Consider the following 25,798-nt stretch of genomic DNA (forward strand, 5'->3'; position numbering starts at 1 on the left):
CTGTGGATCAGTGCCTGGCTCATGGTAAATGCATGTCGGTGTTAGCTACTGTTTTTATTCGGTCTGAAAATGTTTAATAAATGCCTTTCGTGAGCCCGGCACCATGGATCAGCAGTACCCATGACAGATGAGGCTCTGCTTGCATGGGAGAGCCAGAGAACAAACAAATAAATGAATAAACAAGAAAAGACCAGATGAGAGTAGCTTTAAAGCCAATAAAACAGGGAAATGGTGAATGGAGTAACTGGGGAGAAGAGTCACCAAAGTCGGGGAATCAGGGAAGCCTTCCCCAAAGAGGTGGCATTTGAACTGGGGCCTGAGTGGTGAAGCAGCTAGCCATGGGAAGGGCTTGGGGAACAGGATATGCAAAGTCCCTGTGGTGGAAACAAGCCAGCTGTGGTTGAGGAACAACAGCAAGGCAGCCAGTGTGGCTGGAGTGGAGTGAGCAGGGTGGGCAAGAGGTGAGGGAGAACAGGCCAGAGAGAGGGATTAGGACCAGGTCTTGTAGGGCCTTTTACGGCATGGAAGGAGCTCTGAAGCAATGAAGTGCCTTGCCCCGTGTCACATACCAGCCGAGACAGTCTGCCTAACTCGGGAGCCAAAGCTCGCTGCTGGGCTTGAGGCCCCTGTAAGAGGACAATGTAACCCAGGCTGGTATGGGCACATTCTGCATTTCCACTTAAACTCAGATGGCAAGCCCATCAAACCTTGGTGCCATGGCTGCCCTGGTAATTCCTGGCTGACCAGTGCAACCAGGGAGCTGGCCCATGACCTGGGTGGCAGCTAAGTAGCCAAGACTAATGTGGCCAAGAGTCAGTCTTCTAGCCTTCTTCCTGTGACTCATCCAGGTGCACCTGCAACATTTGAAGGTCAGGCTTTCAGCTGCTGTGGCTTCCACTTCCAACTGGCTCCACGTCCCCAAGGAGAGATCACATAGCGCTTTGCCAACACATTCTATTGCACGTTTAATGTTCCTGTGAATGCACCCTTGAGATTTCTCTCTCTTCCCTCCACATAGAGCTTAGAAGCAAAGTTAAGAGACTCATCAGATTCTGAGCTTCTGTGGGATATTTTGCAGAAGGTAAGAGTCCCAGAGTCCCTGGGACTCATGACCCTGCCTCCTGAATCTCTCCGGAAGACCTGAGAGAAGAACCACAGATGTGCTTGTACCCTTTAAAAACACCCCTGTTCAAAGAACAAAAACATTGAGTCAGCACTGCAGGTGGGTGTCAGCACCTCCGATAGCTCCAGCACTTTTGTTTTCTATCTAAGACTTAGACAAAGACATCAGTATATACAAAAATCTGCATAAGAGGGGGGAATCTAGGGAATGTTTTTTAAACCATCCACAGCAGAAACAGAGATGACAGGTGCAAAACAGCTTCTAGCATTTGGTAGATGCTCAGAGAGTTTCTTTTTTCATTTATGAGGCCTGTCCTGTCCACTCCTGTCTATTCTAGACCTAAATGGGCCCTTGCTTTGCCCAGGGTGGGGTTTGCACTCAAGTGCATCTGCATGAAGGTGAGAGGCAGGATCACCACCCGGCCCAGCCACAGCCTGACCTTGGCCTTGAGGGCCAAGTGCAGATCACCCTGCATCCTGGGTCTTCACCTTCAAAGGGCCATGAGCCCTTCAGAAAAGACAAAGCAACAGACTCCCTCCCAGAAAGAAGTGCACCAGAAGAATACGTTTTCCATACAAACTCAGGGGAGGCAGACATCCTCCACCCCCACCCACCCAGCCCATCCTAGGAGCCCCAGTGAAGAATTCCTGTGCTAGAGGTGAACCAAGATTATCCACGTGGAAAAGATGCAGCCACAGCAGGGAAGACTTTCAGGGCAATACAGTAGGACAGGGCTTCAAGCAGGGAGATACCTGAAGTTATCTTGCACCCTACTCTGAGTTTCACCCTGAGCCTCACTCTCGTAGGTGGTGAAGCATGAAATGTAGGGAGAGCTGCTTTAAAATCCAGCAAAAGGCTGGATGCACTGGCTCACACCTGTAATCTCAGGACTTTGGGAAGCTGAGGTGGACGGAACACCTAAGGTCAGGAGTTCAAGACCGGCCTAGCCAACATAGCAAAAACCCATCTCTACTAAAAATACAAAAAATAGCTGGGCGTGGTGGTGCACGCCTATAGTCCCAGTTACTCGGGAGGCTGAGGCAGGAGAATTGCTTGAACCTGGGAGGTGGAGGCTGCAGTGAGCCAAGATCGGGCCACTGCACTCCAGCCTGGGCAACAGAGCGAGACTCTGTGTCAGAATAAATGAAAAACCAGCACCAGCCTGAAGAGCCTGTATATTGCGTGGGGTACTTTGCTGCCCTTGGGCAGAATCTGCATCCCTCCCAGCCAGCAGGCACTGCGGACCGTCTCCTCCCTCTCCCTCCAGGCTCTTGTTTTCCCACCGTCCCCCCTCCTGCTGCACAATTCCCTCTGCCCTCATTTCCAAGTGCCAGGCTGTGGCCACCTCAGAGCTTGCACCGGCTGTTCCCACTGCCTGGAACTTGCTCGTCCTGCACTTGGCTTCTCTTGGCTTTAGTTGGAGTGTCACCTCCCCTCCATCCTGTCCCCAGGGACACATGCTCCAAGAGAGCAGTTGCCGAGTGGGCCTTCCTGCCTCTTCCATAGAGCCAGACAGTTGGCGACTGTCCTTACTGCAAACCCTGGTTCACACTGGCTCCCCTGGGAGGGAGGTGGTTTGGGCCCACATGCCCTGTGTTCCTGCTCAGAATGGGCATTAGAAATGCTGCCATAGCCTGTGCCACTGCAGTGGAAGCATTTTTAGGAAACGGCTTATATCTTAAGACAAACTGCAGATGCGTGGGGCCAGAACGCTGTGTCCATCTTCATCTTTGCTGAGGGATTGGGTAGCCTGGAGTTTGCCCTCTGCTGTGTTGGCTTGAAGCTCATAGGAGACTTAAGATGGGCTCTCGAGCAACCAACGTTCTGTCCTTTGCTGTAGACTGTGAAGTATCCTGTGTGTGTGAAGCACCCGCCGTCAGTCAAGTATGCCTGGTGCTTTCTCTCAGAACTCATCAAAAAGGTCAGTTATGGGCAGTGTCCACCCAGTAGCCGGACAGCATAGCCACCTGCATGCTGCACACCCTGTCCTTCCCAGGCCCTGGGCCTGCTTTGCAAACCCCAGCATGGCAGGGGCCTCCCCAGGCAACTGGCTGCAGCTGTGTGTGACCCATGGGAAACAGTGCAGGGCGGGAAGAAGGGGAGGCCAGCGTCTCTCCCTCACTCTGCCTCCTGGGGTTTCCGCAGCAGCTGCTTCTCTGGGGCCCCAGTTTCTAGCATATGGATTCTCATTCCTACCAGGCTGGCCCAGCCCACAGCACTGGAACCCTCACCCACACCCTCTGTCCTGCCCGCCAAAGGGTTTGGAGTTTCCTGCTCTTTTCCGTCTCTCGGTTGCCCCACGGGCCCCTGTTGGAAGTTTTTCCTCTTGCCATACCTTTGGAACTAGTTCCTCTGGTGAATTCTCCGCATTGATCCTGCTGGAATGAGCTCTTTCCTGACTGATATAGGATGGATTTTATTTTTTACTTATTTATTTATTTTTTTGAGACACAGTCTCACTGTGTTGCCCAGGCTGGATTATCGTGGCACAATCTCGGCTCACTGAAACCTCTGCCTCCTTGGTTCAAGCGATTCTCGTGCCTAGCCTCCTAAGAAGCTGAAACTACAGGCAAACGCCACCATGCCTGGCTAGTTTTTGTATTTTTAGTAGAGACAGAGTTTCACCATGTTGGCCAGGCTGGTCTCGAACTCCTGACCTCAGGTGATCCGCCTGCCTCGGCCTCCCAAAGTGCTGGGATTACAGGCATGAGCCACCGCACCTGGCCTAGGATGGATTTTAAAGATGGGCCCGAACATGCAGGGTTTGACGTGAGGATGTCGAGAGGCCATTCCTTAGTAGGCAGTAGCAGACCTGCTGAGTGAAAGGGCCACACTTTTAGCAAATAAACAATCCCCTGCTTCTCCAATACCTGCTTTCTCCCTAGTCCTCCCCAAAAGGGTGCATCTGTGGTCACCAGCAGGTCTGCCCTGTGCCACCAAGAGAGGGCAGCAGTCACCCAGTGTACCCTGCTGCTGCCCTGTGAATCTTAGGACGGGGCCAGCTGTGGAGAAGCAGCCTGCTGACAGCCACAGCCTGCAGCATGGGCCGCCCTCGCAGTTCTGCCTGGGCTCACTTAAAAGCACCTTTTGTTTTCCTCCTCTCTGTCATGGTTATGTGGCAGCTCTCACGGAATCCTTGTCTCCTGCACTAGACTACACCTAACCCTACCCTCTCAACACCTCTTGTTGAAGGCCCTCCCATCCAGGTTTCCCTATCAAGTGAATTATTTTTTTAGAGACAAGATCTCTGTTGCCCAGGCTGTCCTCGAACTCCTGGGCTCAAGCAGTCCTCCCATGTCAGCCTCTAGAGTAGCTGGGACTATTCAGCACACACCACCACGCCCAACGAAGTGAATATTTTATATGCCAACTGGCCGGTATTACACCATTCCATCCCAAATCTCCCCTCCAAGCTTGGTGAAAATCATCTGGCCATTTTTACAGATTAGAAGGAAAGCAAACAAGCTCTTACTCTGTCTGCCCCCAGCACGAGGCTGTCCACACGGAGCCTTTGGACGAGCTGTACAAGGTGCTGGCAGAGACCCTGATGGCCAAGGGGTCCACCCAGGGCCACTGGAGCTATTTGCTGGTATGAGAAGGGCACCCTCCTCCCCCTCACAGCCCAGATACCCTTCCTGCACAGACAAAGTGAAAACGTGGGTGTGGGTTCAAGTCCTGACTCACCCATGCTGCAGTCTTAGACATGAGGTCTGTTAACCTTCTTTGGCCTCAGTTTCCCTGTCTGTAAATCAAGCACTTCAACAACAACAGCATGTCTCGTGGGGTTGTTGGGCAGTTGTCCAATAGGTAACACACACTACCTGCTGCACAAGGACCTGGTGCCCAGTCCTCAAAGAATACTTGACAGGGCCAGGCGCGGTGGCTCACGCCTGTAATCCCAGCACTTTGGGAGGCCGAGGCTGGTGGATCTGAGGTCAGGAGTTCGAGACCAGCCTGGCCAATATGGTGAAACCCTGTCTCTACTAAAAATACAAAAATTAGGCTGGGCGTGGTGGCTCATGCCTGTAATCCCAGCACTTTGGGAGGCTGAGGCGGGTGGATCACCTGAGGTCAGGAGTTTGAGACCAGCCTGGCCAACATGGTGAAACTCCATCTTTACTAAAAATACAAAAATTAGCAGGGTGTGGCATTGGGCGCCTGTAATCCCAGCTACTCAGGAAGCTGAGGCAGGAGAATCTCTTGAACCCGGGAGGTGGAGGTTGTAGTGAGCCGAGATTGCGCCATTGCACTCTGGCCTGGGCAACGAGAATGAAAGTCTGTCTCAAAAAAAGTACAAAAATTAGCCGGACATGGTGACACATGCCTGTAGTCACAGCTACTTGGGCAGCTGAGGCAGGGGAATTGCTTGAACCCAGGAGGTGGAGGTTGCAGTGAGCCAAGATCGTGCCACTGACTCCAGCCTGGGTGACAAAGCTCAAAAAAAATAAGATAAAACATAGATACAGAAAACCACAAAGGAAAAACATAGCATATTGAAACATCACAAGGCAGTCACCCCTTCATAGCCACACCCAGGCCCTGGCCACCGCTGACCTGTGCTCCATCACCAGAATTCTGTCGTCTCAGGAATGTTGGATGAGTGGACTCCTGTGTGGCCTGAGATGAGTGTCTTTCATGCCACGTGACACCGGAGGCCCATGCAAGCTGTTGGGATGTGAACAGTTAGCTGCTTCTGATTGCTGAGTGGCGATTGGTCCTGTCATGGTTTATTCAGCCATGTGGTGGATGGCTACTTATCTTCTATGCCACTTGTCTTCTGATTGCTGGACTGACTCTCCCGCCCTCTCTTGGTGCAGCCCTCGGGAGGCTCCGTCACACTCTCCGAGAGTACGGCCATCATCTCCCACGGCACCACAGGCCTGGTCACATGGGACACTGCCCTCTACCTTGCAGAATGGGCCGAGAACCCAGCAGCCTTCACTCACAGGTGGCCTCGGGGTGCAGGGCAGGCTTACCTTGGTGCAGTCACAGACACGGTCCCCTTTCCTCCCGCCAGGACTGTCTTAGAGCTTGGCAGTGGTGCCAGCCTCACAGGCCTGGCCATCTGCAAGATGTGCCGCCCCCGGGCATACATCTTCAGCGACTGTCACAGCCGGGTCCTCGAGCAGCTCCGAGGGAATGTCCTCAATGGCCTCTCATTAGAGGCAGACATCACTTCCAACTTAGACAGCCCCAGGGTGACATTGGCCCAGCTGGACTGGGACGTCGCGACGGTCCATCAGCTCTCTGCCTTCCAGCCAGATGTTGTCATTGCAGCAGGTAATGCCCAGCCCCGGGCATCCTGTGCAGGCAGTGTCCTTGCAGCTCTACCCAGCTCTTGGCTCTGGGAAAAGGGAACAATGGACGCTGTCGGGCATGGACATGATGGGGCTTCCAGAAGAGTTACTCTGGGCCTCCAGGGTGACATCAAAGGACAGGGGTGCCTCTTAAGGTGACCTTCAAGCCACAGCCCTCTTGTTGGAGACAGGCATACTCCTGTTACAGTTGTCACCACATGGCTCTGTCCCAGAGCCATGCCCTGTGTCCTTCAGAGACCACAGGAGGAAAACAACCACTTCTGGGACAAGGACAGGGCTCTTGAGAGAAGGTGGTGTTTGGCTGGGCCACCAAAAACCCCTCACCCCTGCCAGCACACTCAGTCCCTAAGGTGTCTCTGGTCACCCTAGAGACCAGAGAGGGGTCTCTGGTCAAGCAGAGCTCTGCCTGTGGTCCTGGGCCCCGCCCTGAAAACCACAGGTCCAGCGGTGGCCAGGGACACAGGTCCACGCCTGCAAGCCAGCAGACCAATCGGCAGATGCCTGAAACACGAAGTTCATGGCAGGGTCAGGCTTTGTGTCATTCGAAGCCCTCTAGATAGGCCGAGAACCAGAGCTGTTTTTCTAAGGAACACCAGTGAGTCTGGAGATTTTTTTCTTTTGCTTCGGTCTTTTGCAGCTTGCTCTACTAAGGGTTCTCCTTTTTCACCAAGTAATTGCCTTTCCATCTAATGGCACAAATGGTCAAATGGCATCTACCAATCTCATATGACCGCTGCCTCTCTGGCCTCGCCCTGCTGCTGAGGACAGCATGACCTGGAACTGTCCGCTGGTCCCATTCAGTAACCTGAAGCTTTCACCGTAGACGTGCTGTATTGCCCAGAAGCCATTGTGTCGCTGGTCAGGGTCCTGTGGAGGCTGGCTGCCTGCCGGGAGCACCAGCGGGCTCCTGAGGTCTATGTGGCCTTCACTGTCCGCAACCCAGAGACGTGCCAGCTGTTCACCACCGAGCTAGGTGAGCCTCCATGTCCACCTGCGCCTGCATGGTCCCCGAGCTGTCCCTGCAGGACTCCATTGGAAGTGAAAGAATTGGGCACCGGGGAAAAGCTAGGATGCCCCACACTCCCACACCATGCGGGGAACTCGGGCAGAGGACAGTGAGCAGGGTGGGCTTGGGGCATGGAGGGCTTGCGGCAGCAGGAGGGCAGCTCAGCCCAGGGAGGGAAGGTCTGAGCCCAGCAGCCCTACTGTGTGCTTCAGAGCAGGGTTCCCTAAGCCCTTGGGCCTCGGTTTCCTCATCTATAAAATGGAGGTGGCAGGAGAGGCAGTCGGGTTCAGGGCTGGACACAGCTGTGGCCTGCAGGATGCTGGAGCACAGGCTATACAGGCGGATCCACCATGCCACTGTCCTGAGCACCCAGTCGATGGAAGACGAGCAGGATGACTGTAAAGAAGGGGAACTGGCCCCGTAGTGTGCCAGCAACTGTCCTCAGACCTGACATTTGTCAGCCCCCAGCACCTGTGAGGGTGTGCTGTCTTTGTCCCATCTCACTGACAAAGACACTAGGACACACAGAGGCCAAGCGACCCCTGAACTCCCGCAGACTGCAGCCCGGCCACCTGGCTCTCATGCCTCCACACTACACCCAAGCCCCCCAATGCCATCAGCCTCTGCTCCAGCTCCCCCTGAGCACAGCCCCTCCTGGGAGCCATGTGCACAGATGCACCTGCAGCAGCCTCTGCCTGCACACAGAGACACGGATGATCCAATGCCTGCCCACGTGGGGCAGCCCGTTAACTACAGAGCCAACAAACAAGCCAGCACACGAAGGCATACTGGGTTCCACGACAGAGTCCCGCAAAACGTCGCACAGGAGGCTGGCTGGGCGCGGGGCTCAGGCCTGTCATCCCAGCACTTTAGGAGGCTAAGGCAGGAGGACTTCTTGACGCCAGGAGTTCAAGACCAACCTGTGCAACATAGTGGGACCCCATCTCCACAAAACATACAGAAACTAGCCAGGTGTGGTTGCGCACACCTGTAGTCCCAGCTACTCAGGAGGCTGAGGTAGGAGGATGGCTTGAGCCCAGGAGGTGGAGGCTGCAGTGAGCCCTCATCTCACCACTGCACTCCAGCCTAGGCAACAGAGCAAGACCCTGTCTCAAAAAGGCAAAAAAAAAAAAACAACAAAAAAAAACAAAAAAAAAAACAGGAAGTCTTTCTTCAGATACTTACATGAAAAAATACCTGCAATATCTTTTAAGTGAAAAAAGTGCCAAACAGCACACATAGCATAAGCCCCTACCAACCTTTTTTTTTTTTTTTTTTTTGAGACAGAGTCTGGTTTCGCATTGCCCAGGCTGGAGTGCAGTGGTGCCATCTCAGCCCACTGCAACCTCGCAACTCCCAGGTTCAAGCTATTCTCCCATCTCAGCCTCCTGGGTAGCTGGGACTACAGGCGCGTGCTACCACGCCTGGCTAATTTTTGTATTTTTTGTAGAGTTGAGGTTTCGCCATGTTGGCCAGGCTGGTCTTGAACTCCTGACCTCAAGTGATCTGCTGCCTCAGCCTCCCAAAGTGTTAGGATTACAGGTGTGAGCTACTGCGCCCCGACCCATTTTTGTTTAAAAACTAATAATAATCACCCACACATGGTTTTGAGTACCTATATTCCCAACTACTCAGGAGGCTGAGACAGGAGGATGGCTTAAGCCCAGGAGTTTGTGGCCACCTTGAGCAACATAGCAAGACTTCATCTCAAAAAAAAATTATCACAATCATCATTTTCACATAAGTATACCTATAGGGGAAAACCTAGAATATATATACAGCAGGCTTGTCCAACCTGCGGCCCAACACAAATCTGTAAACTTTCTTAGAACAGTATGAGGAGTTTGTGTGATTTTTTTTCTTTTAGCTCACCAGCTATCGCTAGCATTAGTGTATTTTATGTGTGGCCTAAGGCGATTCTTCTTCTTTCAACGTGGCCCATGGAGGCCAAAATATTGTATATCCCTGATATACACGTGAACAGGTGCCATTGGCAGGATTATAGAGACTTCTACACGTTCATGTCTGTTCTACTTCATTTTTAAAAATACGCATTTTCCACTTGTAACAAAAAACTGTGATTGAAAATCATCCGAGGTCACAGTGTCTCACACCTGTAATCCCAACACTGTAAGAGGCTGAGGCTTTGGGAGGCTGAGGTGAGTGGATCACTTGAGGTCAAGAGTTCAAGACCAGCCTGGCCAACACGGTGAAACCCCATCTCTACTAAAAACACAAAAATTAGCCAGGCATGGTGGTGCACGCCTATAATCCCAGCTACCCGGGAGGCTGAGGAAGGAGAATCACTTGAACCTGGGAGGCGTTGCAGTGAGCTGAGATTTCGCCACTGCACTCCAGCCTGGGGCACAGAGTAAAACTCCGTCTAAAAAAAAATAATAAAAGAGGCTGAGGCAGGAGCATCACTTGAGGCCATGCGTTCAGGACCCCATCTCTACAAAACAAAAAAATTACTGGCATGGTGGCATGCACCTGTCATGCCAGCTACTCAGGAAGTGGGAGGATTGCTAGAGCCCAGGAGTCGAGGCTGTGGTGAGCAATGACTGTGCCACTGCACTCCAGCCTGGGTGACAGAACAAGATCGTATCTCAAAAAAAAAAAAAAAAGAATCATTCTGGCTAACGGCTCTTCAGACATCTGTGCTTCTGAGAACACCAGCCCCTTCTAAGCTTTGTGTGTGTGTGTGTGTGGTGTGTGCGGTTTTTTTTTTGTTTGTTTGTTTGTTTGTTTTGAGATGGAGTCTCACTCTGTCACTCACGGTTGAGTGCAGTGGCACAATCTCAGCTCACTGCAACCTCCGCCTCCTGGGTTCAAGCAATTCTCCCACCACAGCCTCCCAAGTAGCTGGGATTACAGGCACCCACCATGATGCCTGGCTAATTTTTGTATTTTTGTAGAGATGGGGTTTCACCATGTTGGCCAGGCTGGTCTCGAACTCCTGACCTCAAGTGATCCGCCCGCCTCGGCCTCCCAAAGTGTTGGGATTACAGGCGTAAGCCACTGTACCCGGCGGCTTTCTAAGCTTTGTGAAGAGTGGGTTGACTGAGCAGCCAGGTAGATGTGGGTTCAGATCTCTGCTTCTGTCCCGCTGTGCCAAGTGCTAGGATGGACGCAGGCAGAGAGTGGACAGCAGCACGGTGCCTGCTGCTAGCCATTTCTATGCAAAACCAGATTTCTTGTCCCATCCTGGAGGCCAATTCTAGGCACCTGGGTGGGCCTGGGAACCTGTGAACCAAGTAAACTGACTTGGACACCCCCCACCCCGCCAGGCCTGTCCTAGCAGCCCCACACAAAATGCTCATGTCCTGTCCCCAAACACCGCCATCCTCAAACACGTGTTCTGTTTCCAGGCCGGGCCAGGATCACATGGGAAGCGGAAGCTCATCATGACCAGAAACTGTTTCCCTAAGGAGAGCACTTGGAGATGGCAATGCTGAACCTCACACTGTAGGACTCACACACGACTCCAACAGGATCGTGAGAATCAAGTCACTCTCGTGGGAAGAATTTTTATATGGGAAAGCGGATAAAACTTTCATTGGACTGGAATGTTTGGAGAGTGTTAATTTCCAAATCAGGAACCACAAAGTGCCCTCTAATAAGACATCGGCTATCTAAGCGTGTGGGTGCCCCCTTTCTGCCAGCAGTTCTGGTTCTTAAGAAAATCACCATAAATCAGACATGAAAATTCTGGCTCCGAAAATAGCAATTTCTTTGTGCAAATAAAAACGTGTGTATCAAGTATGATGTTCCCCCAACGTGGACACACTCGGTTCCTCACAAAGCCAAGCCCGCTGCAGCTGTCACATCCCTGGGCTTATGGTGCAGCAGGTGCTTTTTTCAAGACAGGAATCAACATGTTAGGAACACGGCAGAAAGGTGGCACCTGGAGACCAAACGCAGGCTAAGGAGTACTGCAGAGGTCACAGGGAAGTCACAGAACAGTAATACTCTAGCAGGAGCATGGGGCGTGAAGAACAGAAGAAGACAGGAAGCGTTTCTGAGCCTCCAGAGAAGAAATCAGGGCCAACCACAGCTTCCCCGGTCACAGAACCAATTCATTCACCAGGCGGCACCACTGCCGTCATATCAGCTTCTGGCCACTGGGAGGCGCTACTCGAAAGGATTTGCCCTGAGACTCCGAGAAGAAGCTGCGGGAAGGACAGCAGGGGCCCTGGGGTTTTAGCCTCTGGCCCAGGAGTTCTGTGTCCATAACCAAAGGGAGCACAGTCTGCACCCAGCTCTCATCCCATCGGAGCTTCTGCGACTCCCGCAGGTTCTTCCGGAACTGGTTTAGCTTGCCCTCAGGGTCAGGAAAGTTTGAGAAAAGCATCTGCAAAAAAATAAAGAGCAGAGCTTACCTCATTGCCTGTCCCAACCCCATCCCAGGTCACCACCTGGATGACCCCAGGTCCCCGACCCAATAACAACCCCTCCCAAGCCCCTAACTCCCTCACTTGAACTCAAGACCCTTCACGCCCCAGCAGTGCTCCGCCTCCAACTTGACATTATGCTTTCCGGAAACTTCCCCTGGAAACTTACCTGTATGTCCCACTTTCCCACACTTGGTGCCCTGGAGCACCTTCCGGCCTCTACATGCTGTACGTTCCCCTGTGAGCACCCTCCTCTCGGCCTCTGGCCAACACAGTCCCACCCATCTGTGGGTAATGAGTGGCTGTCGGTGTTCTTTTCAGCCTTGCTAAACTGTCTGAATCAAGGATCACAAACTACAGCCTGCAGGCCAAATCCAGCCCACAGCCTGTGTTTCTAAATAAAGTTTTATTGGAACAAAACCACACCCCTTAATCTACAGACGATCTGTGGCTACTTTCACACCACAACAGAGTACCATGGTTGTGACAGAGACTGGGGCACCCAGTCTAAATGACTTCCGACCTGGACCTTTACTGAAAATCCTCCCAGTCACTCTGTTGGCAAGAATGATGTATTACTTTTAGCAATAAGAAACAAGTAACCTTTGCAGAATTCCGCCCATCTTTCAAGGCTGGTCCCAGAAGCTCCCTTTACCTACACACCTACCTGATCCTGATCACTTCCTAAACTGCAGCCCGACCCACCCGGCTCCAGCATCATTTGTGGAGTGTCAGCTCCATAAATCCAGAGGGCAGGAGGGGGTGTGTCCTAACTTTCCCGAGCCTACTGTACCAAAACTGGGCAGCAGAGAGGGCCAGCATCTGTGACCTCTGCTCCCTCCCTAGCTTTTCCACCAGACCCCACATGGTCCCACCCTGGCTGTGAGAAGCAGGGATCAGGGAGCGTGGCTCGGTGCCAGTCTCCAGAACCCTGCCCACCCGGGCGTGGTGGCAGACGTGGCTACCTGCAGCTGAGCTGCCAGTTCCTCTGAGTCCTCAAGGACCAGGCCGTTTTCTTCATGTTTCACCAGCTCATGTAAACTGCAGAGAGAACCAAGGGAGCCTGAGAGCTGCCTGGAGAAGATACCAGACCGCTGTGGTGCCCACCAGGGCTCCCACCCACCCCACGCTCAAGCCAGGCTGGGGGTTGGAACAGGGGGGTGTGGTTTCCAGGAGCTGGTTCTTAGACTTGGCATCTGAGGGTACAAAGGCCTGGGGGGGGCGCTGGTGCACATCAAAATGGCCAAAGCGATTTGAGGAGGGAGCCTTAAGGAGGGTTTGTACCTTCTGTGCTGCATGCTCTTCAAGGACTGAAGAATTATTTTTGCATGTTTTTCTTAATTCCATGGCCATGGAATAAGTAAAGGCAACCCCCTGGAGACTGGCTCAGCACATAAAAGATGACTTTTCTAGGGCACCAGGTTTGATCCTGACATTCCCTGAGCTCAGATCACACGAGGGGCTCACATCCCTGAATCCCATCCAGGGGCCGGCTCCTGAGCAGGGGCCAAGGGCTCAACTTGTGCTGAGGCTACTGCTTCTAGAATCTCCTCTAGTGCCACCCTTCCAAACACCCGTCTATGCTGGGTGGAGTGAGGCCACAGCATGACACTCATTCAACTGATTCAAACCCACCACGTAAGCTTGGCCAAAAGGGACATGGTGGGAGAGAAAACAACAAAGAAAACCATGTAAGCCTGCAGGCAATTCCCGCCAATTCTACTCCAGGAGCAAAAGCCCCGAGTGGAGTTCTAGTATTTAAGATGCTTTTTTTTTCATATTAGGTTGGTGCAAAAGTAATTGTCATTTTTAATGGCAAAAACCGTGATTACTTTTGCACCAACCTAAATATAACATGAGCTCTAAATGGAAGCAACTACTTCAATGAGGCTCAGCCCAGCCACAGCAAATGCAGGGCTCCTCCTCCTGGCCTCCAGTGTGTGCTGGACTGACCGAGGGACAGGGCCTCACTGTGGGCATCTCGCTCTGCACTGCTTCCCCCTCAGCGGTGGATTTGTGAAGCTATCCCCAGAAAGATTCGGGTTCTGCTCCTACCACTTGAAGTTCATGGCACACACAGGCAAACAGCACCCGAACATGTCCACCACCTTCATGGGCAGGTCCAGGCCACTGGAGGACATGTGCAGACAGACACCCAGGTCCACCGACCATGCTAGGCAAGAGGGGTGCGGTCAGAGCGCTGGTCTCTGCCTTGGGAACACAAATCCTCCCAGCACAGTGAGGGAACATCCCCGGAGGGGAGTGAAAATCTCATAAGGCCCCCAATATCACCAAGCACAAGTGGCTTAAGCTGGCCAAGCAGCCACACGGCCTGGCTGGGACATCTGAAAACATAAGTTGACACTTTTTCTACATAACCACAATTTGGTTTTGTTGTTGTTGTTTTGTTTTGTCTTGTTTTGAGACAGAGTCTCACTCTGTCACCCAGGCTGGAGTGCAGTGGCACAATCTCAGCTCACTGCAACCTCCACCTCCCAAGTTCACCTCCCACCTGTAATCCCAGCATTTTGGGAGGCCAAGGCGGGTGGATCACCTGAGGTCAGGAGTTCAAGACCAGCCTGGCCAATATGGTGAAACCCCATCTCTACTAAAAAAATACAAAATTAGCGAAGCGTCGTGGCAGGTGCCTCCAATCCCAGCTACTCAGGAGGCTGAGGCAGGAGAATCGCTTGAACCTGGGAAGGCAGAGGTTGCAGTGAGACAAGATCATGCCATTGCACTCCAGCCTGGGCTACAAGAGTGAAACTCCATCTCAAAATACTAATAATACTAATACTAATACTAATACTAATAATAATAATAAACCACAGCACACCCACCACAAACCAGCTGTCACTGTGAAAATAAAGCCATATAGCTTAACATTTCTAAAGACTAGCTGGGGCCAGGCATGATGGGTCATGCCTGGAATCCCAGCACTTAGGGAGGCCAAGGCAGGAGGATCACTTAAGGTCAGGAGTTCAAGACCAGCCTGGCCAACACGGTGAAACCCTGTTTCTACTAAAAATACAAAAATAAGCCAGGTGTTGTGGTGGGCTCCTGTAATCCTGTAATCTACTCAGGAGGCTGAGGTGGGAGAATCACTTGAACCCAGGAGGCAGAGGTTGCATGAACTGAGATCGTGCACTCCAGCCTAGGCAATGCAGCGAGACTGTCTAAAACAAAGACTAGCTGGAGAGTCCTGCCAGGAAAAGGCCCTCAGCCTCCAACTGCTCTGCTCACTCAAAGCCGGAAGATGCAGCTCTAGAGACGCATCAGGACCAAGACACGACTCCCCACTTGGAGGAATCAATGGGGAAAGAGACGGAGGCAAAGGAGAACCATCTCACTGGGAGAGGCGACGCTGTTTGACACATCATCCTTGTACCTCCCAAAGCCACTGCCCTCCCACACCTGGGCAACAGTGGCCCCAACCCCAGGCCCAGCCCTCCTGCAGGAAGGAAGAGGACTGAATGGAGGGCGTGGCAGGCTGAAAGGACGTGGCCTCCTCAAACGCCTTGGTAAACGGCCTCTGGGGCCAACTGGCAGGGAGGGGCTGGCACACCAGGAAGTAGCCTCCTCCTGGGAGTTCAGCCAGAGCCAAGGTCCCGTGCCCAAGTGGCCTCCAGAGCCACCTTTTCAGAAAAAGCACATCCCGCCCACCCCGTTCCCCCTGCTTAAGGCCCCGCCTCCTCCCTGAGCCTCCTGCTGGCCTCTCACCTAGAAGCAGGGGGTAGTCCTCGGCCTCCAGCCAGGGGGTGCAGACCTGGATATGCTGGAAATGCTTCTGGTGGATGAGGCAGCTGTAATACTCCCTCAGAGGCCGTTTGCCTTCACAGAGAAGAGGAGACACTGCCATGGACCCGTCTCTGTCCCTGCCACGTGGCCCCAGGCCCAAGACACTCCCCCCTAGGAGGGATCCCTTTCCCAGAAGCTCCACTCCTCGGCAGCTCCAGTCAGGCCCCATGCGGGCCCTTCCAGAAGCAACCCAGGAGCCCCAAGACCTGCAGGGGTGTGTGCACGCTGACCCCTGACGCACAGCCCTGTACCTGCAGCCAGCTGGCCTCGGGCTGCAAACATGGCGGGGTAAGCACTGGCCTGGCACCCGACCGCCCACTGGGTGGATCCAGCCTTCTGTCTGTGTTGTGCGCAGGGGACACGAGGACTCCCCCTTCCCTGACACAGCCTCCAGAGCACATGGCGCGGGTTCCAAACCACTCCTGGGAGCCTAGAGGCCAGAAGAAGGAGGAGAGCAGGACCAGCAGCTGGCCCAGACCCCGCCTCTTCCCACACCGCTTCCGCTTTTCTCCCTCCTCACTGAGTCACCTTGAAAGGGCTCAGCAGCAGTAACTGTGGGACAGGGGCTCTTCCATTTGAAAAATTAAGAGGCTCGGTTAAGGCACCAATGACATGGCCGGGCACAGTGGTTCATGCCTGTAATTCCAGCATATTGGGAGGCCAAGACGGGTGGATCACCTGAGGTCAGGAGTTCAAGACCAGCCTGGCCAACATGGTGAAACTCTGTCTCTACTAAAAATACAAAAATTAGCCGGGTGTGGTGGTCACCTGTAGTCCCAGCTACTCAGGAGGCTGAGGCACGAGAATTGCTTGAATGTGGGAGGCGGAGTTTGCAGTGAGCCCAGATCGCACCACTGCACTCCAGCCCGGGCGACAAAGACTCTATCTCAAAAAAAAAAAAAAAAAAAAAGACACCAATGACGTAACAACAACAAAAAGAAGATGCTTGGAAACTACTGAAAAAGTAAAAAGTTTGGTATCTACAGATTCAAATCTGGGCTCCCTGCCCTGCTGTGAAACCCTCTGAGCCTCAGTTTCCCCCATGTCAAGCAATATAAGACCCTATGGCAGAGAGCTGCAGTGAGGATTAAGGAGACAAGATCGTGGGAAGCACAGGGTAAAGACTGCATGCTCCGCCCCCTCCGCCATCCCCCAACCAAACAGAAAGCCAGGGTCCCAGGCGGTACCTGTTATCACACAGACGAGAGAAGGAAGGTTGTGTCCGTCAAGAGTCAGTTGTTCAAACTCTGTGTTTAAAAAAAGAAACAATTCTACATGGAATTTCTGATAGAATTTTTTTTTTTTTTTTTCTGACAGACTCTCGCTCTGTCACCCAGGCTGGAATGCAATGGTGCGATCTCAGCTCACTGCAATCTCTGCCTCCCAGGTTCAAGTAATTCTCATGCATCAGCCTCCCAAGTAGCTGGGACTACAGGCGCCCACCACCATACCTAGCTAATTTTTGTATTTTTAGTAGACACAGGTTTCGCCATGTTGGCCAGGTTGGTCTCGAACTCCTGACCTCAGGTGATCTGCCTGCCTCAGCCTCCCAGAGTTCTAGGATTACAGGTGTGAGCCACCATGCCCATTCAGAAAAAAATTTTTAAATAAACAATAGCCAGAGTCACCTGGTAAGGTGGAGAAAGAGCACTGCTCTGGTGGGGAGGCCACCATCCTCTGTGAGATACTCTCCTGGAGGGGGCATTTCAGCCTGAGGGCCTGGTCACTCAATGACCCAACTGGGGATTCAGGGCGGCCCACCTCCACCACCCCCACTGTCCCCAGGCTGCCCCACCCAGTGGTCCAGCTCAGGAACATGCTGCAGGCCAGGCAAGCAGCTCACAGCTCAGTGGCCCCCGACAAGCCCAGAGCTCCTCACCGCAGCCACACAGCTACTTTCTAAAGCTTCCAGCAGGATGGAGAAGTCTTCATCCTCTATGAGAAGAGAATTGAATGTCAGGGTCCTGTTACTAGACACCTCTCTTCCAGGTCACACACCCTCCCCTTCTCACTGAGACTGTGACGGGGTGGGGGCATGCAGGACTGGCAGAGGTGAGGAGAACACAGGTTGGCCAGGTGCCCGTCACACCAAACCCATGTGCCCCAGGGGTCCTGCAGACCTGTCCAGCTCGTGCTGCTGACCAGCAGGGCTGGCTGCTCATGGAGACGTGTCACCAGCCTGCTCCCAGCATCCTGCTCCATGAAGGCCGACCGCTCCGTGGCTGGATCCTCAGGTTCTGAGATGAAAGAGCAGAAAAAAAGCCTGTGAGAGGCCACAGAGCAGGCCCAGGACCAAGGACGGGCATCTCCTGCCATGGCGAGGCCTGCAGGCTCCCAGCGGTTGGGGTGCCTGGCCACATCAGCAGCACCAGGCCACCCCTGCCATCCGAGGCCTGGGCTTGCTTTCTCTAATATTGTTGCTGGGTGCTAAGATTACAACAGCAAACAAGACTGACTCATTCCTTTTCTCCACGGGACTTACTGTCTTATCATCCCCTGGACTCAAGATGAGGGTGCAGGGATGCCCTCCCACACCACCCCAGCTTACCCAGGGGCACACCTCAGGGTGTGTGGACCTGCACAAAGGTCCCCTCCTTAGCCCCATGAGACACCCCAGGGGACACACAGGTCCACAGATCCTGCCACAGATCTGGGAACCCATTGACAGGAGAGTAAGACAGTGCAGGGGTCCACAAACATTTCTTAAAGGGCCAGAGAGTAAATACTTCAGGCTTTGCGGGCCACAGGTTCTCTGTTGCAAAACGCGATTCTGCTATTGTAGCTCAAAGGCAGCTGTAGACAACTCAGAAGTTAATGAGTGTGTTGTGTCCCAATGAAACTTGATTTACAAAATCAGGAGACTGGCCTGTAGCCTTAGTTTGCCAACCCCTGGATGAGTGGTTTCCCAGGTCTGCAGCGAGAAGGGGAGAGGCCAGGGCAGTGGCGAGCAGGAGAGAAGGCAGCTGAGGATGGGAGGCCTACCGGGCCCTGAACAGAGAGTGTGTGCTGCCCAGCTTCATGAAGAGCCAGTGCTGCAGGTCCAGAGGTGCCTCTTTAAAGAAAGATGCCGGTTTGTCGTAGACGGTCACAGCCCTGCAATGAAATCATGGCGGGGCTATTGGGGGTGCTGAAGAAAGGCCTCAGGAATAGAGGACTCAGAGGCTCCAGGAAAAGAAGGACGCTTGGGGAATCCAAGTCTCAGACGATGACAAGAAAAAGCCTTGCAATTACTTGGGAATGCACAGAGAGATGTCCTAGGACCAAAACTGCCTGGACCCCCTGGCTGGCTGGGAAGGAAACTCTGCCCCCTCCTCTCCCAGCTTCCCCAAATTTTCCCATAATGTTGCCAAGCATTAGTCCAGCGTGAAGGCTACTTTCTTCTCAAACCACTCATTTGGGTCCCGCGCCCAATGTCACCCATCCTCAGCAAAACAACCTTTATTTCCTTCTTCCTGCTTTCCAGAAAGTTCCCCTAAAGCCCTGAGAAATCACCGAATGAAAGAGGCTTTTTACAAACAGGAAACTTAAGTGGAGTGCCAATACACAACATGAATTGCACCAGGCTGGGTCTAAGATAAAACCAGACTGTGGACAACAGGACAGATAAGACCCCCCACATGGCTCTGCACTGCCTGGGTCTGTTATTATGTGGAGGAATGTCAGTCTGTTGCTCCTGTGGGTGGAGCTGAAGCATGAACCAGGAGTCTTCATCCTTAGAAAGCAGTTAGACAGACACCTGAGAACCAATCCCAAACTGCAGACTTCCACAGAACCTTCTGGAACCTTCCCGAATGCAACTCATTACTGCCAGAGGGTCTTTGATGAGAGTCTACTCTCCACCATTTGTCTTCAAAGAGAATACCCACATATTCTCTTTCCATGGAAAGGTAAGTTATTAGAGTTTATGCAGTCTGGTATATTAATTGAGAGCTTTACTTCAAAGAATGTCACGTTTACGATTCAGTCTCACAGACTGGGTTAAAAAGGCAGTATTGACTATTAAGTTGTAAATTACTGTAATGATCATTATTATTATTCAAGCAATCTGTGAGAAATGAGCATTATCTCACAATATCTGCATTTTAGTGAACCTGAGGAAAGAGTGTATTTGCTGGAATTACAGAAGCCTGAGAACCACAGGGGAATTCTCACTGCAGGGTATTCAGGGTCAAAGGCTGATTCTATTTTGCATGCTCAGTCCTTCCTCAATTTATTTTTATTTCTTTCTTTATTTTTTGAGACAGGGTCTCACTCTGTCGCCCAGGCTGGAGCGCCTTGGTGCAATCTGAGCTCATTGCAACCTCACCTCCTGGGTTCAACTGATTCTCCTGCCTCAGCCTCTGGAGTAGCTGGGATTTCAGGCACCCACCACAAAGCCCAGCTAATTTTTGTATTTTTAGTAGAGACGGGATTTCACCATGCTGGCCAGGCTGGTCTCGAACTCCTGACCTCAGGTAATCCTCCTGCCTCGGCCTCCCAAAGTGCTGGGATTACAGGCATGAGCCACCGTGCCCGGCCCTCAATTTTGTTTTTCTATTTATTTATTTATTTATTTAGAGATGGATTTTCGTTCTTGTCCCCCAGGCTGGAGTGCAGTGGTGTGATTTCGGCTCACTGCTACTTCTGCCTCCAGGATTCAAGCGATTCTCCTACCTCAGCCTCCCGCGTAGCTGGGATTATAGTTACGCACCACTATGCCCGGCTAATTTTTGTATTTTTAAGTAGAGACAGGATTTCACCATGTTGGCCAGGCTGGTCTCGAACTCCTGACCTCAGGTGACCCACCTGCCTCAGCCTCCCAAAATGCTGAGATTACAGATGTGAGTCACTGCACCTGGCCCCCCAATTTAATTTTAATAAAATTATCAAGGAAATAAGCCACAAAAGGACAATGTGCAGACTTTAGAACAGAGCTATCCAATAGAAATACAATGTAATCCACATGTGTAATATTAAATAATTTAGTCACCACATTAGAAAAAGTAAAAGGCGTGAAATGAATTCTCCTAGTAAACTTTATTTAACCACTATATTCAAAATATTATTATTTCAACATTAATGAATACTTAAAAATTCTTAATGAGATATTTTATGTTTTTCTTTTTGCTTATGAAGGCTTGGAAATCTAGTGTATATTTTACACTAACAGCATATCTCAACTGAGACGGCCACATCTCAAGTGGCCAGTAGCCATGTGTGGCCTGAGGCCATGACTCTGGGCAGTACAGCTTTAGGTGAGTCTAGGGCAGGGCAGAGGGGGGCACCTGGGATCAGGTGTGGAGCCTGGGGCCTTGTTTTGCACCGTTTGGTGAGGGCACTTTCTTTCCGTAAAACCCAGGTCAAACGTGCCTCACAAAGGGGCCAGTGGAGGTGCCTCCATTTACTTGGGAGCTTGGCCTCTCCAGCTTGCCTTCCTACTGCCTGGAAGAAGATTGATGTCCTCTTGCCTTCTCTAGCCTCTTTCCCAAGAACCCTCCCAGAATTTAGTCCTATGAAGGGCCAGGGGTGCAAGGAGTCACCCACACAATGACAGGACCCACCAGCAATACCAGAAGTTGGCCAGCCCTACTCATCCAAATTCCTTTCTGCCAGCTGGACATCACAAGGATTTCAGACTTCCATCCTGCGGCAACTCCATTTTGGGGTCCGGGGGTTTAAGGGTTACTCTATTAGTCCTTTCTCACTCTGCTAATAAAGACATACCTGAGACTGTGTAATTTATAAAGAAAAAGAGGTTTAATGGACTCACAGATCCACATGACTGAGTAGGCCTCATGATTATGGCAGAAGGTGGAGGAGGAAAAAAGTCACATCTTACATGGCAGCAGGCAAGAGAGTTGTGCAGGGGAGCTCCCCTTTATAAAATCATTAGATCAGGCAGGGAACAGTGACTCACATCTCTAATCACAGCACTTTGGGAAACCAAGGTGGGTGGATCACCTGAGATCAGGAGTTTGAGACCAGCCTGGCCAACATGTTGAAACCCCATCTCTAATAAAAATACAAAAATTAGCCAGGTATGATGGCTCACGCCTGTTGTCCCAGATTCTCGGGAGGCTGAGGCATGAAAATTGCTTAAACCCAGGAGGTGGAGGTTGCAGTGAGCTGAGATCACGCCACTGCACTCCAGCCTGGGCAACAGAGTGAGACTCGGTCTCAAAAAAAGAAAAAAAGAATTAGATCTTGTGAGACTTATTCAATGTCATGAGAACAGCAGGAGAAAGACCCACCCCATGATTTAGTTACCTCCCACTAGGTCCCTCCCACAACATGTGGTGATTATGGGAACTACAATTAGAGATTTGGGTGGGGACACAGCCACACCATATCTGAGCTGGGCATCTTCTTCCTTGAATGCACATTGGCCTCTGAGGCACTTCCTGGTTAACCTCATTCCACAGCTGAGAAAACCCAGGCTTGGCACAGGCAAGGGATCTGACCCAATGTCTCCCATCTTATTAGAGGAAGGACCAAGACTGGACCCACAACTGTACTCCTGTTTTGTGTCACCATGCTGCCCCCAAGATCAGATCTCAAACCAAGCAGACATGGGGGGCTCAGAAAGTCCCCAGCCTAGAACTTTCCTGTCACCCAATGACACTAAAGGCTAAGCTTTCTTCTTATTATTCTGGATTCACGCTAGAATGACCTTGGGGTGTGTTTCACACGTGCCGATGTCTGGAGTTTCACCCCCAGCTAACTGACTATGAATCTCTGGGTTGGGGCCTGGGCACTGATATTCATGCAGAGCTTCTGAGATGATCCTGTTGTATCGCCAAGGTTGACACCTGCAGAAACCTTGCACACTTTTTCATTCATTTAGTTATTAAACATGTAATATTTATTATTATTTTTCCAGACACAGAAGCGTTGCAAGAATAGTACAAAGACATCATTTATACCCTTCGCTGAGATTCCCCAGTGCTACCATTTTACCCCATTTGCTTTATTATTTTCTAAGTGGCAGATGAGTTATCTTTTACCCCTAAATATTCCTGTGTATTCCTTAATAACACGGACTTTGTCTTATATAACCAAGGCAATATCAAAATCAGGAAACTAACCCTGCTACAATAAGGTTTTCTAATGTAGGGACCTCATTCAGATTTTGCCAGTTAACCCAATGATGTACATTGGAGCAAACGATAATCCCAGATCATGCATTATTTTCAGTTGCTGTGTCTCTGTAGGTCCCTTTTAGCTTGGAACAGCTCCTCGGTTTTTCTTTATCTTTCATGGTATTGGCATTCTTGAAGAACGCAAGATGGTTATTTGATAGATTGTCCCTTACTTTGGATTTGGCTGATGTTTCTTGGCGGTGATATTCTTATGCATTTGAGGTGGGATTATCACAGCAATGGTGTCATGTTCTCTGTGCATCGCATCAGGAGGGACATGCTGATGGTTTATCCCATTACACCAAAGTGAATGTTGATCGTTCAGTGAAGGTGGGTGCGGGTTCATTGCATTATATTGCAGAAGCCATCATCAGCCATACTCGCTCTGATTAACCAATCATCTTATGTAGCCATTTATCTAACAAGGCTGTAAGGGTCTTGAACTCAGGGTAAGCAAGCCTTAAAGCAGAAGAGAAGAAAGAAAGGCTTTGGAACCTGGAGCTTTGGCAAAGGGCGCAGGTGTGGGGAACGCACCACCAAACTTGCTCCTGGCATTAGGATGAAGAGGAAGGAGAACATTCTATCTAGAAGGGGTTTGGGGTTAGCCAGAGGGGTGTGGGAGAGTCAGAGTCTGCCAACTTGTGGTTTTGCTGAGGGCTACACTGTGGTAGACAGGTGTTTCATTTCTGCTCTTGAAAATTTTGTTTCACAATCCTTCATCTAAAACAGAGCAATTCCCTTTTTCTAAGTTTTGGCCCACTTTGCTTCATCTGTCTTCTGTTCTCTTATTTTTAGAGACAGGGTCTTGCTCTGTTGCCCAGGCTGGAGTGCAGTGATGTGATCATAGGTCACTGCAGCCTTGACCTCCTGGGCTCAAGCAATCCTCCTGCCTTAGCCTCCTCAGTAGCTGGGACTATAGGTGTGCATCACTGCACCTGGCTAATTTATTTTATTTATTTTAGTTTTTCTAGAGATGAGGTCTCACTCTGTTGCCCAGGCTGATCTTGAACTCTTGGCTTCAAGGGATCCTCCCACCTCGGCCTCCCGAAGTGTTGAGATGACAGGCATGAGCCACCATGCCCACCTCTGTCTTTTCTCTTGGGATTACTGACTTCCACATTAGCTCCAGGAATAATTTCTGTTAAGGTGATGCCTGGCTCGACACTTCTGGTAACTCCCGTTGTTTATCTATTGCTTATCTCCAGAACCTATGTGATGCTTCCTACTTCAAAGTGCACTAGTGCCTGTCAGCTTGAAGGCATCCCCTGAGCTGCTGGCAAACAAGGCCTTTTTACCCAGAGATTAACCTCTTATTTGTTTCAATAAATGATCAAAAGTTGGTTTGCCTCCTGTGCATATGTTGGTTGGGGACAAGAGGGGATTGTGGTGATTTCTGTCCACCTGGGACCTCAGGCCTCCTGGTGGCCCCTGAACAAAAGTGAGGCAGGCAGAGCAATGGGCAGTGTTCCCTGTCTGCCTCGTTGCCATCAGTATTCCTGCCTGTGGTTGTCTTTGGCGCATTATCAGGATGTGTCCCTCCCTCATCTTTGTTCCCTCTCCTTCTTGTATTTACCTTCACCTGGGCTGCTAAGTGCTGCGGGAGAAACATTGGGTTGTTGTGGAGATTGTGGCCATGAAAATTTAGGTTCCCCACCCTCAGGTTGTCCCTCACTGGTCTCTGCCTCATACCTTTGAAGAAAACAACTCGTGGAGGTCGTCTTATTCATAAAGGTGAACATTTAACAGAGCAGAGCACTGTTGTGGGTTGAATTGCATCCCCTCTCTCACAAAAGACTTCTTGGAGTCCTGACCCCCAGTACCTCAAAACGTGACATATTTGGAGATAGTCATTACAAAGGTAGTCAAGTTAAAATGAGGTTGATAGAGTGGGCTTTATCCAGTATAATGGGTGTCCTTATGGAAAGGGGAAATTGGCCAGGTGCAGCGGCTCATGCCTGTAATCCTAGCACTTTGGGAGGCTGAGGCAAGAGGATCACTTGAGGCCGAGGTTCAAGACCAACCTGGCCAACATAGGGAGACTCCCATCTCTATTAAAAAGATAATAAATAAAATAGGCCAGGCACAGTGGCTCATGCCTGTAATCCTAGCAGTTTGGGAGGCTGAGGCAGGAGGATCACTTGAGGCTAAGGTCCAAAACCAAACCTGGCCAACATAGCAAGACTCCCATCTTTAAAAAACAATAAATAGGCCAGGTGCGGTGGCTCACACCTGTAATCTTAGCAGTTTGGGAGGCCGAGGCAGGTGGATCACTTGAGGTCAGGAGTTCAAGACCAGCCTGGCCAACATGGTGAAACCTGTGTCTACTAAAAATACAAAAAAATTAGCTGGGCATAGTGGCAGGCACCTGTAATCCCAGCTACTCAGGTGGCTGAGGCAGGATAATTGCTTGAACTCGGGAGGCGGAAGTGGCAGTGAGCCAAGATTGCACCACTGCACTCCAGCCTGGGTGACGGAGCAGGATTCTGTCTCAAAATAAATAAATAAATAAATAAATACATACATACATACATAAATATATATATATATACACACACACACACTACATATATGTGTATGTGTGTGTGTAGATATAGATATAGATATGGAAAGGGGAAATTTGGACACAGATGCACACAGGGAGAAGGCCACGTGAAGATTGGACTTCTGCTGCCACAAGCTAAGGAGCTGGCGGAAGCTCGGAGGGAGATCCTTCCCTAGCATCTTCAGAGAGAGCATGGCCCTGAGAACGCCTTCATCTCAGCCTTCTGGCCTGCAGGTGTGAGACGATGCATTTCTGTAGTTCTAAGCCACCCAGCTTGTGGTACCTTGTTATAGCAACCTGAGGCATTTAATACAGCAGCATTCTGAGCCCTTCCCATATAAACTCTTCATTGAATCTTCACCACAACTGCCCCACCCATAAGTGCTGTTGTTATTGTCTTCATTTCGTCTTCATTTTATCCATGATGTCTGCAGCACAGACAGGTTCAGTAGTTTGCTCATGGTCACTTGAGATAATAAAAACTCCACTCTAGGGAACCTCT

The 25,798-nt window shown here is 51.1% G+C and overlaps 2 pseudogenes, besides 3 other annotated features; one reads left to right on the forward strand and one right to left on the reverse strand.

Moving 5' to 3' along the window:
- Positions 118 to 628: an enhancer, noted in NCBI's record as "H3K27ac-H3K4me1 hESC enhancer chr4:9693822-9694332 (GRCh37/hg19 assembly coordinates)". NCBI's record gives its function as "activates a minimal SCP1, AML or CMV promoter by ChIP-STARR-seq in primed H9 embryonic stem cells {active_cell/tissue: H9 hESC(primed)}" and the evidence as "EXISTENCE:reporter gene assay evidence [ECO:0000049][PMID:30033119]".
- Positions 629 to 1,138: an enhancer, noted in NCBI's record as "H3K27ac-H3K4me1 hESC enhancer chr4:9694333-9694842 (GRCh37/hg19 assembly coordinates)". NCBI's record gives its function as "activates a minimal SCP1, AML or CMV promoter by ChIP-STARR-seq in primed H9 embryonic stem cells {active_cell/tissue: H9 hESC(primed)}" and the evidence as "EXISTENCE:reporter gene assay evidence [ECO:0000049][PMID:30033119]".
- On the forward strand, positions 1,017 to 11,514 carry FAM86MP (family with sequence similarity 86 member M, pseudogene; annotated as a pseudogene).
- ALG1L3P (ALG1 like 3, pseudogene) lies at positions 10,564 to 18,732 on the reverse strand (annotated as a pseudogene).
- Positions 11,375 to 11,434: an enhancer, noted in NCBI's record as "active region_21302". NCBI's record gives its function as "activates an Ori minimal core promoter by ATAC-STARR-seq in GM12878 lymphoblastoid cells {active_cell/tissue: GM12878}" and the evidence as "EXISTENCE:reporter gene assay evidence [ECO:0000049][PMID:35858748]".

This window comes from Homo sapiens, chromosome 4, assembly GCF_000001405.40.
Source record: "Homo sapiens chromosome 4, GRCh38.p14 Primary Assembly".
NCBI classification, from domain to species: Eukaryota; Metazoa; Chordata; class Mammalia; order Primates; family Hominidae; genus Homo; species Homo sapiens.